The 19,778-nt window shown below is 36.0% G+C and overlaps 1 long non-coding RNA gene across 1 annotated transcript in view; it reads right to left on the reverse strand.

Annotated features, from left to right (window-relative positions):
* The window catches only part of LOC102724355 (uncharacterized), a 177,651-nt gene extending 160,496 nt beyond the window's left edge, over positions 1-17,155 (reverse strand). Inside the window, exon 1 of the long non-coding RNA XR_430359.4 lies at positions 16,309-17,155. This is a non-coding gene — a long non-coding RNA (uncharacterized LOC102724355). The remainder of the gene's footprint in view (positions 1-16,308) is intronic.
* Between the last annotated feature and the right edge of the window lie 2,623 nt (positions 17,156-19,778).

Here is a 19,778-nt window from a genome sequence, read left to right on the forward strand (position 1 = left end):
TGAAATCCAGATGGAAATTTAAAAATTTTTTTAATTAAATGGTAATAGCAACACAACCTATCAAAATCTCTGTGATATTGCAAAAGTGGTGCCAAGAGGAAACTTCATAGCATTAAATACCTATGTCAAAAAGTCTGAAAGAGCATTAATAAACAATCTAAGCTCATACCTCAAGGAACTAGAGAAATAAGAACAAACCAACCAAAACCCTACAGAAAAAAAAAAAAAGAAATAATGAAGATTAGAGCACTCAGTTCCACATGGCTGGGGAGGCCTCACAATCATGGTGGAAAGTGAAGGAGGAGCAAAGGCACATCTTACATGGTGGCAGGCAAGAGAGCATGTGCAGGGGAATTGCCCTTTACAAAACCATCAGCTCTCGTGAGAGTTATTCACTATCATGAGAACAGCAAGGGAGGAACCTACCCACATGATTCAATTACCTCCAACAGGGTCCCTCACATGACATATGGGGATTTGGGGAGCCATTAGGTTGGTGCAAAAGTTATTGCTCTTTTTGCTATTACTTTTAATGGCAAAAACCGTGATTAATTTTGCACCAAACTAATACAATTTAAGATGATATTTGGGTGAGGTCACAGCCAAACTATATCAACATTAGTGAGATTAACCAAGAAACAAAGAGAGAATATCCAAATAAGTTCAATTAGAAACAAAATGGGAAATAGTACAGAAGATGCCACAGACATACAAAATATCATTCAAGGCTACTATGAACACCTTTATGTGCATAAACTAGAAAACCTGGAGGAGCTGAATAAATCCCTGGAAATATACAGCCCTCCTAGATTAAACTAAGAAGAAATGGAAACTCTGAACAGAACAAAAACAAGCAGCAAGATTGGAATTGTGATTTAAAAATTACCAACAAAAAAAAAATGCCCCCAAGACCGGATGGATTCACAATTGAATTACAGCAGGCATTCAAAGGAGGATTGGTACCAATCCTATTGACACTATTCCAAAAGATAGAGAAAGAGGGAATCCTCCCTAAATCGTTCTATGAAGCCAGTATTACCCTAATACAAAAACCAAGGAAGGGCACAACAAAAAAAGAAAACTACAGACAGATATCCCTGATGAACGTAGATGAAAAAATCCTCAACAAAAAACTAGCTAACTGAATTCAACAGTGTATCAGAAAGGTAATCCACCATGATCAAGTCAGTTTCCTACTAGGGATGCAGGGATGGTTTAACATCCACAAGTCAATAAATGTGACACACCAAGTAAACAGAATTAAAAACAAAAATCATGTGATCCTCTCAATGGATGCAGAAAAAGCATTTGGCAAAATCCAGCATCTTTTTATAATTAAAACCTTCAGCAAAATTGGGTTAGAAGGGACATATCTTAACGTAATAAAAGCCATCTATGACAAACCCACAGCCAACATTATACCAAATGGGGAAAAGTTAAAATCACTCCCCAAGAACTGGAGGAAGACAAGGATGCCCACTTTCACCAACTTCTACTCAACATAGTACTGAAAGTCTTAGCCAGAGCAATCAGACAAGAGAAAGAAATAAAGGGCATCCAAATAGGTAAAGAAGTCAAACTGGGAGGCAGAGCTTGCAGTGAGCTGAGATCGAGCCACTGGACTCCAGCCTGGGAGACAGAGCCAGACTCCATCTCAAAAAAAAAAAAAAAAAGAAGTCAAACTGTTGCTGTTAGCTGATGATGTGATTGTATACCTAGAAAACCCTAAAGACTCATTGAAAAAGCTCCTAGATCTGATCAATGAATTCAGTAAAGTTTCTGAGTACAAAATAAATGTACACATGTCAGTAGCGCTGCTATACACTTAACGGCGACCAAGCTGAGAATCAAATGAAAAACTCAACCCCTTTTACAACAGCTGCAAAAAATAAAATAAAATGCTTAAGAATATACCTAACCAAGGAGGCAAAATATCTCTACAAGAAAAAACACAAAACACTGCTGAAAGAAATAATAGATGACACAAACAAATGGAAATAGATTCCATGCTTATGGATGGGTAGAATCAATATTGTGAAAATGACCATACTTCCAAAAGTAATTTACAAGTTCAATGCAATTCACATGAAAACACCATCATCATTCTTCACAGAACAAGAAAACAAAATTCTAAAATTTATGAGACAAAAAAGAGCCCATATAGCCAAAACAAAAATGAACCAAAAGAACAAGTCTGGAGGCATCACATTACCGAAATTCAAACTATACTCTAAGGCCATAATCACCCAAATAGCATGCTACTGGTATAAAAACAGACACGTAGACTAATGGAACAGAATAGAGAGCCCAGAAATAAAGCCAAATACTTACAGCCAACCGAACTTCAACAAAGCAAGCAAAAGCATAAAGTGGGGAAAGGACACCGTATTCAACACATGGTGCTGGGATAATTGACAAGCCACATGTAGAAGAATGAAACTGGATTCTCGTTTCTCACTTTATATAAAAATCAACCCAGGATGGATTAAAGACTTTAATCTACAATGTGAAACCATAAGAATTCTAGAAGATAACATTGAAAAATTCTTCTAGGCATTGGCTTAGGTGAAGAGTTCATGACCAAGAACCCAAAAGCAAAAGCAACAAAAACAAAAATAAATAGATGGGACTTAATTAAACTAAAAAGCTTCTGCACAGCAAAAGAAATAATCAGTGGAGTAAACAGACAAACCATAGAGTGGGAGAAAACTTTTGCAAGCTATGCATCCAAGAAAGGACTAAAATCCAGGATCTTATAGGAACTAAAACAAGTCAGTGATAAATAATAATAATAATCATTATCATCATACTCCTCATCAAAAAGTAGTCTAAGGACATAAATAGAAAATTCTCAAAAGAAGATATACAAATGGCCAACAAACATATGAAAAAATGCTCAACATCACAAAATGCAAATCAAAACCACAATATGATACCAACTTACTCCTGCAAGAATGGCCATAATTAAAGAATCAAAACATAGTATATGTTGCCGTGAATGTGCTGAAAAGGGAACACTTTTACACTGCTCTTGGGAATGTAAATTAGCACCATCACTATAGGTAACAGTATGGAGAATCCTTAAAGAAGTAAAAATAGGAGTACCGTTTCACCTAGCAATTCCACTTCTGAGTATCCACCCAGAGGAAAAGAAGTCATTATATAAAAAAGACACTTGCACATGCATGTTTATAGCAGTATAATTCACAATGGCAAAAATTAGGACCTGCATAAATGCCCATCAGCCAATGAGTGGATAAGAAAATATGGTATGTGTATATATATATATATATATATATACACCTTGAATACTACTCAGCCATAAAAAGAAACAAAATAATGGCATTCACAGAAACCTGGATGAAGTCGGAGACCATTATTCTAAGTAAAATAACTCAGGAATGGAAAACTAAACATCATATGTTCTCACTAATAAGTGGAAGCTTAGCTATGAGGACGCAAAGGTATAAGAATAATATAATGGACTCTGGGGACTTTGGGGGAAGGGTGGGAGTGGGATGAAGGATAAAACACTACACACTGGGTTCAATGTAAACTGCTTGGGTGATGGGTGCATCAAAATCTCAGAAATCACCACTAAAAAACTGATCAGTTTAACCAAACACCACCTGTTCCCCCAAAAACTGAAACAGTAATAATAATGATAAATAAAAATTTAAAAAAACAAAAATTAAAATAAGAGCTCTTTTTCAAACATATACACCTACACAAGAAAATAATGTACAATTCATAGGATTGTGTTGCTTAAATATTTTATCAAATATTTATTTTATTTTTAGTGTTGAATGGCATATCAAATAAATCATTCCATGATATTACCAATAATATATGATTATAAAATGATCAAGTGGCTGGGCACGGTGGCTTATGCCTGTAATCCCAGCACTTTGGGAGGCCAAGGTGGGCGGATCACCTGAGGTGAGGAGTTCAAGACCAGCCTGCCCAACATGGTGAAACCTCGTCTCTACTAAAAATACAAAAACTGAGCCAGGCGTGTTGGCAGGTGCAAGTAATTCCAGCTACTGAGGAGGCTCAGGCAGTAGAATTGCTTGAACCTGGGAGGCGGAGGTTGCAGTAAGCTGAGATGGTGCCACTGCACTCCAGCCTGGCCTACATGAGTGAAACTCCCTCTCAAAAAAAAAAAAAAAAAAAAAAAAAAAGAGATCAAGCATCATTTACTACTAAATAGGCAAAAACTTTTTCTCAGTGCTCACTTATCTATCACCAATTCGTTATCCAAACATGTCAGCATTTGCTGTAAACAAATCCAAACATGGACAAAGGACTCTCAAATGCATTCAAATCTATTACCCTTTACTGATGTCCTTCAGAAAAAAAGGCAACCTTTTTAGGTAAACAATATGAGAATTTGATGTTTGGTGTCTTTATTAACATATCTACTGGATAAATTATTCATTTTGTCACATTTAACTTTAAAATACAGTATTTTTATAATCTCACAAAACTATTTTAGTAAAAAATTGTTTTTCTATTTTTTAATTTAATTTATTATTTTCTATTTTATTTCAGACAGAGTTTTGCTCTTCTTACCCAGGCTGGAGTGCAGTGGCGCAGTCTCCGCTCCCTGCAACATTTGCCTCCCGGGTTCAAGCGATTCTCCTGCTTCAGCCTCTGGAGTCGCTGGGATTACAGCCGCCTGCCACGCCCAGCTAATTTTTTGTATTTTTAGTAGAGACGGAGTTTCTCCATGTTAGCCAGGCTGGTCTCAAAATTTTTTAATTTATTTACTGAGTAAGATTATCTATTTCCTGACCTCGTGATCCGCCCGCCTCGGCCTCCCAAAGTGCTGGGATTACAGGCGCGAGCCACCAAGACCATCCTGGCTAACATGGTGAAACTCCCGACTCTACTAAAAATACAAAAAAACAGCTGGGCGTGGTGGCGGGCGCCTGTAATCCCAGCCACTTGGGAGGCTGAGGCAGGAGAATCACTTGAACCTGGGAGGCAGAGGCTACAGTGAGCCGAGGTCCCACAATTGCACTCCAGCCTGGGCGACCGAGCAAGACTCTGTCCCGCCCCCACCCCCGAAAAAGATTATCTATTTCCATATCTAATATCTACCACTTGTCTCTGGCATTGAACAGGGTATTTAGATAAACAAAATCTCATGTTGTTGGAAGAATTTCCTACTTTGCAATTTGCAGTAATCACGGCCACTGCTGGATCTGATATATCGTTTCACTTTCACAGGTGAGGTCAGTTAAGTTCCATTCACTGAGAATAATTCAAGGGTGAGGCTTTTCCAAGACATCTCTTCCTCACCTACCTACCTATCGGTATTGGAACTGTCCTTTATCTTTGGAGAGCTTTTCCTTTTCTTAGCTAAAATTGAAGGAATTTTAACAAATATTTCTGACATTAGCGATTATTTATTCAAGCAACTCTAAATTTGAATGCTGCAGGAAATTATAAACAGTGAAAGAGTAGCAGCATTTGTTATTCCTAACAAAGCATGTTTACTGCAGTAGCAGACAAACTTTGGATAAACACTTGAGAAAATATAAATTATAGGGCATAGCTAAGAAAACATTCTTAAACATAGTACGTTTCATTTATAGAAAACATTGGTGTAGTCTTTCTTATTATAAATATGCTTTGCATTTGAAACACAGTTTTTAATTTCCAAAAATCCTGTATTTTTACGATTCTATTTCTATTATAAGCAAAAATGTAAAAGAATGTCACATATTACTTCTGAGTAGCTGCACTGTTACGATTTTCTGTGTTTTAGGCCAAAGACTATTACCGTAATGACTACTGTGTGAATATGTAATTACACACGTACTGCTACTGTTGTGTAGAGATAACATGATCTATTTATGCAAGCATAAAATATGGCCATATGGTTTATATTCCGGACTTGCATATTATGAAATCATTTGTAGCCCTACCCTGAACTTCCACAGAGAAAAATCACACACATGAGATACACACATGGGCATTGTGGTTTCAAAACTCTTTGTGGAAAAAAGCTGACATAAACAAACGAAGCAGAAATCTCCTCCCTTCAAAGTGGTGAATATTATGTCTTGGAAAGAAAATGAACCTGGGATTAGACAGATGGAACTGTAGCATTACCTATGACAAATTATTCCGCCTCCCTGACCCTAAGCTGCTTCATTCTAAAAGAGAAATCAGATTATTCAACTTTTCTATACATCTGTTTGAAAATGCTAGGAAAATAGTAGACATGCAATAACTGGTTGTGAATGTTTTTCTTTTTCTTCCAATCATGCCACCATATCTAAAATGTCACTTTATGTCACTATGCTTTTTCACAAAAGGTTAATTAAAATCAAAGTAAAGGTTATAGGCAATATCATGAAACATGTTACATTCCTTATTTAAAAACTTGATAAGAAACTACTATTTACTAGCAGATTCAAATATTTACCAATGAGTATTTTAGCTAAACTTAAATTCTGTATATAAGAAAATTAAGATTATTATCCTTTAGTGAACTGATAATAAAATGTAGATGATGACCCAGTACATTCTGTGACATTTATCCAAATGAGTTGAAAACTTATGTCAACACAAAAACCTGCACATGGAGGTTTACTGTAGCTTTATTGATAATTCCCCAAACTTGGAAGCAACCAAGATGTCCTTCAGTAGAAGAATGGATAAATAAACTGAAGTACATTCAGATGATTAAATATTATTCAGCGATAAAGGCACTATCAAGCCACAAAAATACATGGAGGAAGACAACTTAAATGCACATTGCTAAATCTGAAAAGGCTACATAAAAGCCAATCTGAAAAGGCTACCTACTGTATAATTCCAACTCTATGATATTCCGGCAAAGAAGACACCACTATGAAGACCTTAAAAGGAAAAGTGGTTGCCAGGTATTTAAGGGGAGGAAGGGAGGAATAGGTGGAATACAGAGGATTTTTAAAGCAGTGAAACTATTCTGCATGATACTGTAACGGTGGGTACATGCCACTATACATTTGTCCAAGCCCATAAAACACACAGCTCTAAGAGTGAGAGTTAATGTAAGCTGTAGACTTTGAGTGATGATGTGTCTGTGTAGGTTCATCAGCTGTGACAAATGTACCACTCTGGTCAGGATGTTGATAATGAGGCAGGCTGTGCCTGCATGGTGGCAGGGTTATGTGGGGAGTCTCTGTACCTTCCTCTCAACTTGCCAGTGAAACAAAAACTACCCTAAAAATAATGTCTATTAAAAGTGCAGGTGATGAACATTAATTTAAAAATTTAGTATTTTTACAGGGACAATATATTCAGTTATTTGTTGTGTACATAAAATTAACATAATTTTTTTAAAAAAATGATGAAGACCTATATTTTAGCTGAAAATACATAGAAACAATAGTCATTACATTAAATATCTAAGAGAAAATATGTATTATGTCATGCAAAGAGTCAAGAAGATATACATGCATTCATGCATATACATTTTATAGCCATATGGTTCAATATCAAATTGAGCTTACGGAGTAAAAATGGATGAACAGAGATGTTGCAACAAGCACATAAATCTCACAATGTCCCACGTGTAACAGAAGTGTAAGCCAGCACTCCAGATAAGCATGTAACATTGCAGGTAATAAGAAAAAAAATAATAGACTGAAGGAGCATACCATTGACTTATTAAGCGACAACTATTGATACGCGCTAGCTGGTTGATACATGTAACTTCATCTTCATAGTAATATTAATTTTAAGTAAATATTCTTGTCATTTTATTGGTAACAGAATGGAGGCTCCAAGAAATTAAATAATCTTCTTGAGATCACATCATCAACATTACACATGTGAGTATGTTTTAGGAATTGGATTATAAAAACGGAGTAAATCTACCTCAGTGTCAATATGTTTTTCATTTTTTGTCATATGCCCTTCAACAGTTATGCTGCAGCAAGGAACAATACACATTTATCTCCTAAATAAATAGCCTATACGATATTTTTGCATCCCGATCTTTTAAACTGTTCAAATATTTGAAATTGACCATTATATAAACCAGCTCTTCCCCATTGCTTTTAAGATGAAAGTTACTTTCCTTCTCTGAGACTTGGTTTTTTCCTTTGTGAGGAGAATACTACTAATTACTTTGTAGGGTTGTTGTCAGAATGGGGCAGCTGATATTTAATGCCCCCTCCAAACACACAACCAAACCTGAATATGAAACATAAAAAAAAATACACTGAAGAATCAACTTATTTGTAATTTCATTAATTTCTTAAGAAAAAAAGAATAATGCCAGTTTGCAAGTCAGATTATGCTGGTATAATTAGGATACTTATGCTCCTGCCTTTCACTGGAGCATGTTTCCTATCTTCTATACTCATCAAATCTGAGGGAACTCCAACTTAAACACATTTTTACCCTTTGTGCTGCTGCCAATTTCAACCTTTGCTGAAAGCACTCACAAATACTATTTTTGTCATGCTTGTTTTGAGTGCTAAAATCTTCATACTATCTCCCTCTAGAAACAACATTTTCACTTTTGTCTTTTACTGCTTTTTATTATTTATTTTTTTATTTATTTTTATTTTTTGTTTATTTATTTATTTATTTATTTTTGAGACGGAGTCTCGCTCTATCGCCCAGGCTGGAGTGCAGTGGCGTGATCTCGGCTCACTGCAAGCTCCGCTTCCCGGGTTCACGCCATTCTCCTGCCTCAGCCTCCCGAGTAGCTGGGACTACAGGCGCCCGCCACCACGCCCGGCTAATTTTTTGTATTTTTTAGTAGAGACGGGGTTTCACGGTGTTAGCCAGGGTGGTCTCAAATATCCTGACCTCGTGATCCGCCCGCCTCGGCCTCCCAAAGTGCTGGGATTACAGGCTTGAGCCACCGCGCCCGGCAGCTGCTTTTTATTATTTTTAAAATTATTCTCCTTATTTATTCCTCTCTTCCACATTAAGCAACTTTCCCCAGCCAGTGAGATTTGGAAAACACTGCTATTTTTTTTGGTGAGGTATGACTATGGCTGCCTCATGTATGGCAGCTACATTAACTACTGCAATCTTCATAATGGCTCTGAGGTGGGTACTGTTATTACTCACCCCCGCACAGATGAGGAACCTGAGGCCAGGTTGGGGAAGGCCTAATCCAAAATCACAGAGCTAGCAAAATCTGGGCGTGACTGAAATCTTGGAGGGCTAGCTTCAAATACTGTGTGTTTAGCTGTTATACTAAACTGTTACTTATCTATACTCTTTTATGGACAATTTTATAAAGGAAGCTGAGGATATATTTTTAATAATACATAATGAGAAAGTTTATAGAAATGCATCAAATGCATTACGCATGAAGGTTAAATTACTAAAATAAAATTAAAAGCTGGATTTCCTTAATTATACATACATGTAGCCCAACTGAAATACTACTGTAATTTCTCTAACACATTTTTAAAAACTTTTCACACAGTATATTATTAGAAAGATATGAAGGATTTACAGGGAAAAACAGCCCCATTATTGTCTGGCTAACAGTTTTATTTATTTAGCCATGTGTAGAATTAAATTTCAGTCATTAATTTAGCCTTATAATCAAAACTTTTGAAAGACTTAGTAGATTCTTTCTTAAGAGATTACTAGGCTTGTTGTGAACCCATACAAGTTCGTGCACTGAAAATCTTCACTTAAGTCTCTTTCTAATGCATTTCTTTACACACAAAGGCTTATATCAACTCCTGTGTACACGCTAAACAAATATCCATGTAGAAGAAATTACTTAAACAGCATGAATTCTATGTGGGTAAAGAGTTCATAATTTGTCAATCTCTTAGAAAATCTAGGAAATATATATTCATAAAATCAAGAGAATACATTTATAAAATCAAGAGAACAGTGAGAAAAACAGGCAATCTGTAGCTTAATACAAAAATACTTTTAACAAAATAAATTAGCTAAAAGACAAAATTTAGAATGAATAATTTATTAATTGATTTTCATTGAAGAACTATGTCACCATCAGGGCAGATAATTGATTTTAAACTATACTAAATTATATTTTAGTTTTTATTTTTTTAGAAGTCAAGCCAGGTGTGGTGGCTCACACCTGTAATCCCAGCACTTTGGGAGGCTGAGGTGGGCGGATCACAAGGTCAGGAGTTCCAGACCAGCCTGGCCAATATGGTGAAACCCCGTCTCTACTTAAAAGACAAAAATTAGCCGGGCATGGTGGTTCACACCTGCAGTCCCAGCTTCTCAGGAGGCCGAGGCGGGAGAAGTGCTTGAACCAGGGAGGCTGAAGTTGCAGTGAGCCAAGATCACACCACTGCACTCCACTCTGGGCGACAGAGTGAGACTCCGTCCCCCCACAAAAAAAAGAAGTTAAAGTCAGAGATAGCAGGTCTAAATCTTGAATGTCAAATTTAGTTGTTGTTGTTGTTTAATTTGCTTTGTTTTAAAGTTATTAAAAAATTATCTAACCAGCAGCAGCAGTACAGATTACACATAGCCCCAACTTACCTGGGTCTTTGCGCATTTCTTTCAATTACACAAGAGTATTTTAACCACATTATTGGTTACCATAATTTTACTTGAAAAAATATGCAACTAGTTAGCATATAAAAGATCTGTTTTTATGGCAGTTTATAATTATATCTACTCAAAACAAGTCATTCAGAGAAACAGTAATTCAAACTTACTCTAAAATGTTCACAAAGCATTTATTCCATTAAATATTTATAATATTTAATATATAATACAAACAGTCCCCAACTTATAATATTGGCTTAGAATTTTTCAACTTTATGATGGTGCAAAAGTGATAAGCATTCATTAGATTCCATACAATCATTCTGTTTATCACTTTCAGTAAAGTATTCAATATGTTATATGAGCTATTGCACACTTAATTATAAAATAGGCTTACTGTTAGATGATTTTGCCCAATCATAAGCTAATGTAGATGTTCTGGGTATGTTTAAGGTAGGCTAGTGTAGATAAGCTATGATATTTGGTAGGTTAGATGTATTAAATGCATTTTGACTTACTATATTTTCAATTTAAGATGACTTTATTGGACAGAATCCTATTGTAAGTAAATAAGCATCTATATTACTTATAAATAATATATTTAATGTGTTAAAAATATATTCAGGTAGAATATTTTTAACATTAAATAATTCATTTTAGCCTAAATACATTTACAGCAAATGATCATTTATAGACAATAAACAACAGTGCTAGGTCAATGACATCAGAAGCATTTTGCGTGAAGGCTGGAATTATTTTGTTTTTCACATGATATCACAGGCTATAATGTCTTTAGCATAGTCGGTGCTAGCCATTTAGAATCATAATGATCTGTTCTAAAAGGCTGAAAATATTCTTTTCATTTCTGCAAATTTTAGAAATATATAATAATCGCACCTGGAACTAGATTTTGGACATTACTCCATTCTGCTACTCTTTTTTACTAAGATGAAAGCTGAAATAGAATGAAAATTTTTACTTTTTTGATCTCATTTCAATGGTACAGGAGAATATGAGTATTGCCTGGACACATGTATGTTTGTAATGAAGCCTTAAATATAGAAATGCAACTTGAAACTGATGTGAAAGTAGTTAAACCTGTTGTGTTCCTGTACTAAAAAGTTATATCGTTTCTATTGGGAATTGACTTAGAATATAGATATCTATTTTCTTCATTACAGGTTTTTGGAAAAAATATGACAAATCCAAAAAATTTACAAAAGACAATTCAAAGTCATTAATAAAAATTTGGAAGGATATATTACTTTTTATGAAATAATTGCATATTGTCATTTACACAAATATCTCTCTTTGAAAGACCAATGAGGAGTAACAGGGAATTAGAAATGGCAAACAAATCAACCCCATACAAAGAATGTGGCTGAATTTTCACCGAAGCAAATGAAAACAGTTCTCTCATTCATTCCTTGATGTCTAGTCATTGGCCAAACAGCCTAATTCATAAATGGATCTCAGAGAAGGCAAATTCAAAGTGTCTAAAGGAAATTCATTTTAATAAACATAAAACCAAATGTGTATTAGACTGTTTAATGTAATAAAGTCCAGAATGTTATATTTGATCATCACGAAGCTTTAGTTCTTAAATTTTGCATAGAAAAAGCAAGCCAATGATTCAGCAATTTCATTTGTTTGACTCATTTTGAATTCCACAGGAAGCAACAAAAGCAAGTGACTACATAGTAGAAATATATTTTATTTCTACTAAGAGCTTGCCTCTCATTACTAGAGTATAATTGTTACAGATATATGTGTACACTTGTAATAGTAATTTTTTTATTTCCATTTTAATCTGTTCTTTTTAAAATCAGTTCTTGACATAATTTTAAAAATTAGAGTTAGAAATTACAAACTTTCTCTTTTTACATTTTTTAGACAGTGTCTCACTCTGTTGCCTAGGCTGTAGAGATGGGGTTTCACCATGTTGCTCAGGCTGGTCTTGAACTCCCTGTGCTCAAGAGATCCATTCACATTAACCTCCCAAACTGCTGGGATTACAGATGCAAACGCCTGGTCTCCAAACTTTTTTTGCAACAAGAACATTTGGAGATTTAAAAAGTAAACTGAATCAATTTGCAGCTGGAACAGTGTTATTTAAACATCACTTGACCTACTAATGGAGCAGTCTAAATTAGATACTTCCAAGAGACAAGAGGAACTGTCAAAACTGGCATCTTTGGTGGAAACCCTATGATTCGGGCTTTCATTCATTGGCTTTCTCATTCACTTTGGGAATGAGTTTAACAAAGAATAAGAATGAAACTGAATCATTTCTGGTACCAGTTTTCGCCTTTTCTTTAATAGTCTTGGGCTATTGATGGCTAAGATGAAGAGACTTATGGGGGAAACTCTCCCGTCTAACCGTTTGTTTATGTAAAAGGTCCTTTGCCAGCCCTTTCTGGGGAGGATCTACTTATATTATATATTAGTCCATTCTCAAACTGCTATAAAAAATACCTGAGACTGGGTAATTTATAAAGGAAAGAGGTTTAATTGACTCAAAGTTCTGCATGGCTGGGGAGGCCTCAGGAAACTTACAATCATGGTGGCAGGTGAAGGGGAAGCAAGGCAGGTCTTACATGACAGCAGAAGAGAAGTGAGAGCGCAGGAAAAACTGCCACTATTAAAACTATCAGATCTCATGAGAAGTCTCTCATTATCACAAGAACAGAATGGGGGAAACAGCCCCCATGATCCATTCCCCTCCCCACAGGTCCCTCCCCTGACAATTTGAGATGCTATTTGGGTGGGGACATAGAGCCAAACCATATGACATGGTATGATTACAAGAATGACAGGCACACTGATGGCCTTTTCCCAGTGAACTGCAATGTTACTGGAATTATTTGCTTTAGATATACCTAAAGGGCTGTCCTCAAGCTGGCTTAAAAATTGATATTTAGAAGCTAAATATTAAGGTTTACTCTATAGAGAAGTAAATATCTTACCATCTAGCTCAAAGCAAGAATTGACGGATCGATAAACAGAATTACATAGAGTTTTGTAGAAAACGGGTAAAGAAAATATAGTAAGGGACTATTCAACTATTACTTACCTTCATTGAAGAATATTGTTATATTTATTTCATGTTTCATTGTATTCTAAAGATTATCTCTAAAAAGCTTACTAAAGTAACCAAAAAAATAGAAAAAATTTGAAAGAAAAAAGAAAGAAGAAGAAAAGAAAGAAAAAGGAGAGAGAGAAAGAAAGAAAGAGAAGAAAGAAAGAAAGAGAAAGAAAGAAAGAAAGAAAAAGAAAAGAAAGAAAGAAAGAGAGAGAGGCCGGGCGTGGTGGCTTACGCCTGTAATCCCAGCACTTTGGGAGGCTGAGGCAGGCGGATCATGAGGTCAGGATATCGAGACCACCCTGGCTAACACGATGAAACCCCGTCTCTACTAAAAAAAGAAAAAAAAAAAAAAATGAGCCGGCCGTGGTGGCGGGCGCCTGTAGTCCCAGCTACTCAGGAGGCTGAGGCAGGAGAATGGTGTGAACCCGGGAGGCGGAGCTTGCAGTGAGCCGAGATGGTGCCACTGCACTCCAGCCTGGGTGACAGAGTGAGACACCCTCTCAAAAAAAAAAAAAAAGAAAGAGAAGAAGAGGAAGAAGCAGAAGCAGAAGCAGAAATGGAAGAAAGGAAGGAAAGGAAGGAAAGAAGGAAGGAAAGAAGGAAGGAAGGAAGGAAGGAAGGAAGGAAGGAAGGAAGGAAGGGAGGGAGGGAGGGAGGGAGGGAGGGAGGGAGGGAGGAAAATTAGGCACACATGGCCAAAATGTCATACCTGAGATTCTATAAGACCTTCTCTGTTTTATACAGAGGGACAACTAGAATTGGTATGATTTCATAAATGAAATAAATAGATGTTGGTTTATATATTGTATATTATATATTCATCTTGAAATTGAACATCAAATTTAATTTTAATTTTATTTTGAAATTATTTTTAAAATAATTTTTATTTTTTAATTTAATCGTATTGTGGAAGATATCATTAATGCTGCAGAGAATGTATATTAGAAAGTATATTTTAAAGAATATTTGTTAAGTGAATAGAACTACCACATTGCCTGTGTCTTAAAAGCTTTATAAGTCCCTTCCAAATTGCCTCCCATTTCTGTTTGCAAAGCAAGAGAATCCCAGTGTGTTAGTCAGTGTTCTCCACAGAAACAGAACCAATAGACTGGAGACCTAAGGAAGGATTGATGTTGCAGTCTTGAGTCTGAAGGCTGAGTCTTTTCTCTTAAGGCCTTCACCTGACTGAATGAGGCCCATTGCATTATGGAGGGTAATCAGCTTTACCCCCAGTGCTACTAATTTAAATGTTAATTACATCTAAAAAATGCTTTCACATCAATGTCTAGGCACCAAGTCGACATAAAATTGACAATCACACCCAGGAAGTATCTCAAGCATGTAAATTTAGATGTTCATATCCAGGTGAAAAGAGATATATGGAATATACTATTATATGTTACTCTATACCTCATAATTATGCTTTTTAAACTTGGGGAGGCCTTAGTTACATGTTCAGTTGGCTTAATGAATGGCAGTCAGTATATTGAATCTATGAATAATAACAAACCCATAAATACAATGTTTACTTTTACAACTTGGCAAGAATTTGTTTTGAGTATCAAATTGGGGGAAAATCCAAAATGCATGCCAATTTTGTAGTGCTTAGCCCTCTAACATAATAATTAACTCTTATAAAAGCTATTGATAGCTTTTATTTTCTTTTGCTACCAATCATGCAAATGTGGAATGTACTTGAATTGAAAAATATTCACTTTCCCTTACTGCTGCCAACCTGTCTCTGTATCCTATCACAAACTTCATCCAGGATATCTGTGTTTATTTTCTGTTTCCTCATCACTGGTTAATTCTTCAAATTATTCTTATTTGGATTCTACCTCTATCATCATTTTATTGGAACAACTCATTTTATGCAATCTCTAAAAAATGTACAATACCTGTGACTTTGCCCGTGTCTTAAAAAAAAGCAAAACTAGTTTCAGTTGCCAAAGATAGACATCATTCACCTATAGCTCAGGCTGGAGGTAAATATTAGAAGTGCTGTTGTATCAGCTATCCCTGAATAGGTAGGATTGAAGCTGTGATTATATATTAAGTCAACCAGAAAGCGAGTATGGACTGCTAAGGAAGAGGAGTTAGAATGAAATGTCAACGCTCAATGCCTGAAGAGAACAGGGGAGTAAATAGAAAAATCAGCGGATGCGTGGTCTTTTAGAAGAAACAAGTTACTTTGAAAAAGGTAGTGGTGAACATTTTTGAAAGCGGATGAAATGTCAAGAAAGATTAAACCTTAAATATATACAATGAGAAGACATATAGGGGCCTAGCAGAGGGAGGCAACGGATTAAAGTGAGTTGAAGAATAATGAAAAATCTGCTAAAAATATACAATTCTGAATTATTTTGTACTGCATAAAATATGACTCAACTGATGTGACCTCATTCTATATCTAGCTTCATTTTCTATTGCTAAATTGACTTTCAAAATGTGCCCCGTAATGAAGGTACTTATCCTCTTATTTTATTCTCTCATTTCACCATTCTATTAATTCATCCAAAAATATTCATTGAGTTATAACTATGTGTTACTACCATCTGGGAACTGAAAACTCAGCAACAAACAAATGATGATGAAGTCTCTGCCATACATACTACATTTATTTAGTCAAATTGTAGCAGTCGGGATGGTTTAGCCAGGTTTGCTGGGGAAACAACCATCCATGTAATCTCAGAGGCTTACAATAATAAATCAACACTTACTTCATATTCAAACTGCATGTAGGCTGAAGTCAGCTGCAATCCTCATCCATATATTTTTATTCCAGGACCCATACAGAAGGCAGAAACAAACAGGCAAAGAAATTTCATTAGTACCTTTTAAAGTTTCTTCTCAAAAACAGTATACATCGTGCCTACATTTATTCCATTGACTAAAGCACATCACATAGTCAGGTCAAACATCAATGGAGCAGAGAATATATATTCTGTCCATAAGGGGCCCCTTAAGCCTGATGTCAATGAGCAACAATGTATAATTTTCTTACAGGAAAGGAAGAATGAATAACTGCACGATAAAACAACCTAGCACAGGTATTTACTCCTGTATTTTACCTACAAAGCCATCCTATAAATATCTAAGAAAATATGGCTCAGCTTTAAAGCATCAGCAATAATACTGCTGCACTGCTTGTGATTCTTAAAAATGGCTTGATGTTGGGCATCAACATTAAGACTTGTATTATTTTATCATTTTACTTAATACGATTACTTGTTTCCTTCCTTGGGAATGCTAGGAATTATTGATATACTGTATTTTTTTATTTCTACTAGGACATTCTGCATTAGGAAAAAGTTATACTTTTTATAAAGCATCCCAAATAAATCAATTCATTGAGTCATTAGAAGATATTTACTTGAGTTTCTACAATATATTCCAATCACAACTGGACACACACACAGTATAAACAAATTGTCCAAAATTTATTTCAAAATTCATATAAAACCAAAAGAACCAAAGAAGGTATACATGCAACCAACAATCACATGAAAAAGAAATCTCAACATCACTGATCATTAGAGAAATGCAAATCAGAACTACAATGAGATACCTTTTCACACCAGTCAGATGGCTATTATTAAAAAGTCAAGGCGGAGCGCGGTGGCTCATGCCTATAATCCTAGCATTTGGGTAGACCAAGGCGGGTGGATCACCTGAGGTCAGGAATTCGAGACCAGCCTGGCCAACATGGTGAAACCCTGTCTCTACTAAAAATACAAAAATTAGCTGGGCGTGGTGGCATGCACCTGTAATCCCAGCTACTTGGGAGGCTGAGGCAGGAGAATTGCTGAAACCCAGGAGGCAGAGGCTGCAGTGAGCCAAGACCACGCCACTGCACTCCAGCCTGAGTGACAGAGCAACACTCGGTCTCAGAAACAAACAAACAAAAAAACAGATGCTAGCAAGGGTGTGGAATAAAAAAGGAACGTTTGCTTATACACTGTTGCTGGAAGTATAAATTCACACATTGTGGAAGACAGTGCAGTGATTCTTGAAAGACCTAAAGACAGAACTACCGTTAGACTCAACAATCTTATGACTGGGTATATACCCAAAGGACTGTAAGTTGTTCTATTATAAAGACACATGGATGTGTATGTTCATTGCAGCACTATTAATAATAACAAAGACATGGAATCAACCTAGATGTCCATCAATGATAGACTGGACAAAGAAAATGTGGTACATATACACCATGGAATACTATAAAGCCATAAAGCAGAAAAAGATCATTTCCTTCGCAGGGACATGGATGGAGCTGGAGGTCATTATCCTTAGCAAACTAATGCAGAAAGAGAAAACCAGATACCACATGTTACCTTATAAGTGGGAGCTAAATGATGAGAACACATGGACCCACACAGGGGAGCTACACACACTGAGGGGCCTACTTCAAGGTAGAGGGTGGGATGAGGGAGAAGATCAGGAAAAATTACTAATGGGTACTAGGCTTAATATCTGGGTGATGAAATAGTTGGTAAAACAATCCCCATGACACAAGTTTACCTATGTAACACACCTGCACGTATACCCCTGAACTTAAAATAAAAGTCAAAAACAGGGCTTCCTGTTTGGTCTCTTTCCCACCCACTACGCTCTACAATCAGTGGAACACTGGGCCCCAGGCTCCTTCTAACAGAGTTCTCGTCAATCAGTCCCACGTGGGTCAAATCTGATTATCTTCCCTCACAACCACAACCTGCTATGTTTTGTTTAATGTCATTTCTCAACCTTTAGGAAAAATCTAGCCTCATTATTATGGTACACAGTGCCTGGGCTCTTCTTTTTCTTCTTGTTCATTTCCTGGGCCTTTCCTCTGTCTCACAACCTAGAGCAACTCTAGGCTTCTTTCCCTTCCTAGAGCACATGCATTTTGATGTCTCCTCATTTTCTGCCTAGAAGGCTGCCCTCACCCATTCATCTTTCCTTAGGACTTTTCCTGACCCTTTAATGTAAACAGGATCCCTATAATATTTGCTCCCATCACCCTGTATGTTTCCTTTATACTGATATCATAATATGTAGCTAGACATGTTTGCAGCATTTTTTAAATGTTTGCTCCGCCCTCTAGACCTTGGATGCTCAGAGCATGATCTCCTGCACTGGCATTGGTGGAGAGCTCTAAGGCAAGATAAATATAAGCATTCAGAGTAAGCATTTCAAAATATCTGCAGCAATTTCACATTGCCAGGCCATAAAGGTTTTTGATCAATGGGATTATTTCTGACCAGGGTATAGTACAGTTAATTGTTGTGGATCACATATGATCTAAGCTGTATGCTAGTCATATGTAGCAGAATCACATAGCAACAAATGACACTTTAAGGTTAGTTTGTGCACTATAACCCAAGTGTGTGTCAAATTTTGAGAAAATGTAAGCCTTTGTATGCTTAAAAAAATTTCTAGGTGCACTTTACTTTTTAATGATGCCTGTTTTTCAAATTATAATGTAACATTATTAGTTATACTAAGAAAATACAATTTACATTATTTAAGTTTAATGCCAATTAACACGGAGAGAAATAAGTTTCTCTGGGCTTGTTACGAGAAGGCATAGATTCTCAGCTACAGACATTTTAGGTTAAATAATGGTGAAGAAAAACAGTAGGGAAAAGCTAAAGACCAAAAAGAGTTCATACTTGTTTTACTTAGAAGTACGTATCCTAGTACATTGAGATCAGTTTTCTAACCATAATTGATGATACTATGCTAAAACTATGGTGCCTCATTTGTGGAGTTGCATTGCATAGTGAAGGGATGAAACAATGAACACCTATGTGGTATTTACATAAAAGATATAAATAAAAGTGTTCAAAACCACATTCTCTGTATAAGAGTATTTAATTGAAAAGCCTACAGAAGCAGATGCTCAACATTTCACATATGAATATTGATGCTATGTGTCTTATTGTAAAACAGCACTTTGGGTTGCTAACTAAAGAAAATGTATACAATTGCTGAGACAGTGAAGTATGGTATCAAAGATACTTGTTTGGAAATGCAATGTGAATCTGTATTACAAAGTCAATCAAATACCACTTTGCAGTAACACTGTATACTCAGGAGCTGAGTGATGATCTAGAAGACCAACTCACTGAACAAGTAAAACTAGTAAAGTGTTTTTCATTGTGATTAGACTAATGCACTGATACTGCTAACATGGCAACTCTTT

Source organism: Homo sapiens, chromosome 21 (assembly GCF_000001405.40).
Source record: "Homo sapiens chromosome 21, GRCh38.p14 Primary Assembly".
NCBI classification, from domain to species: Eukaryota; Metazoa; Chordata; class Mammalia; order Primates; family Hominidae; genus Homo; species Homo sapiens.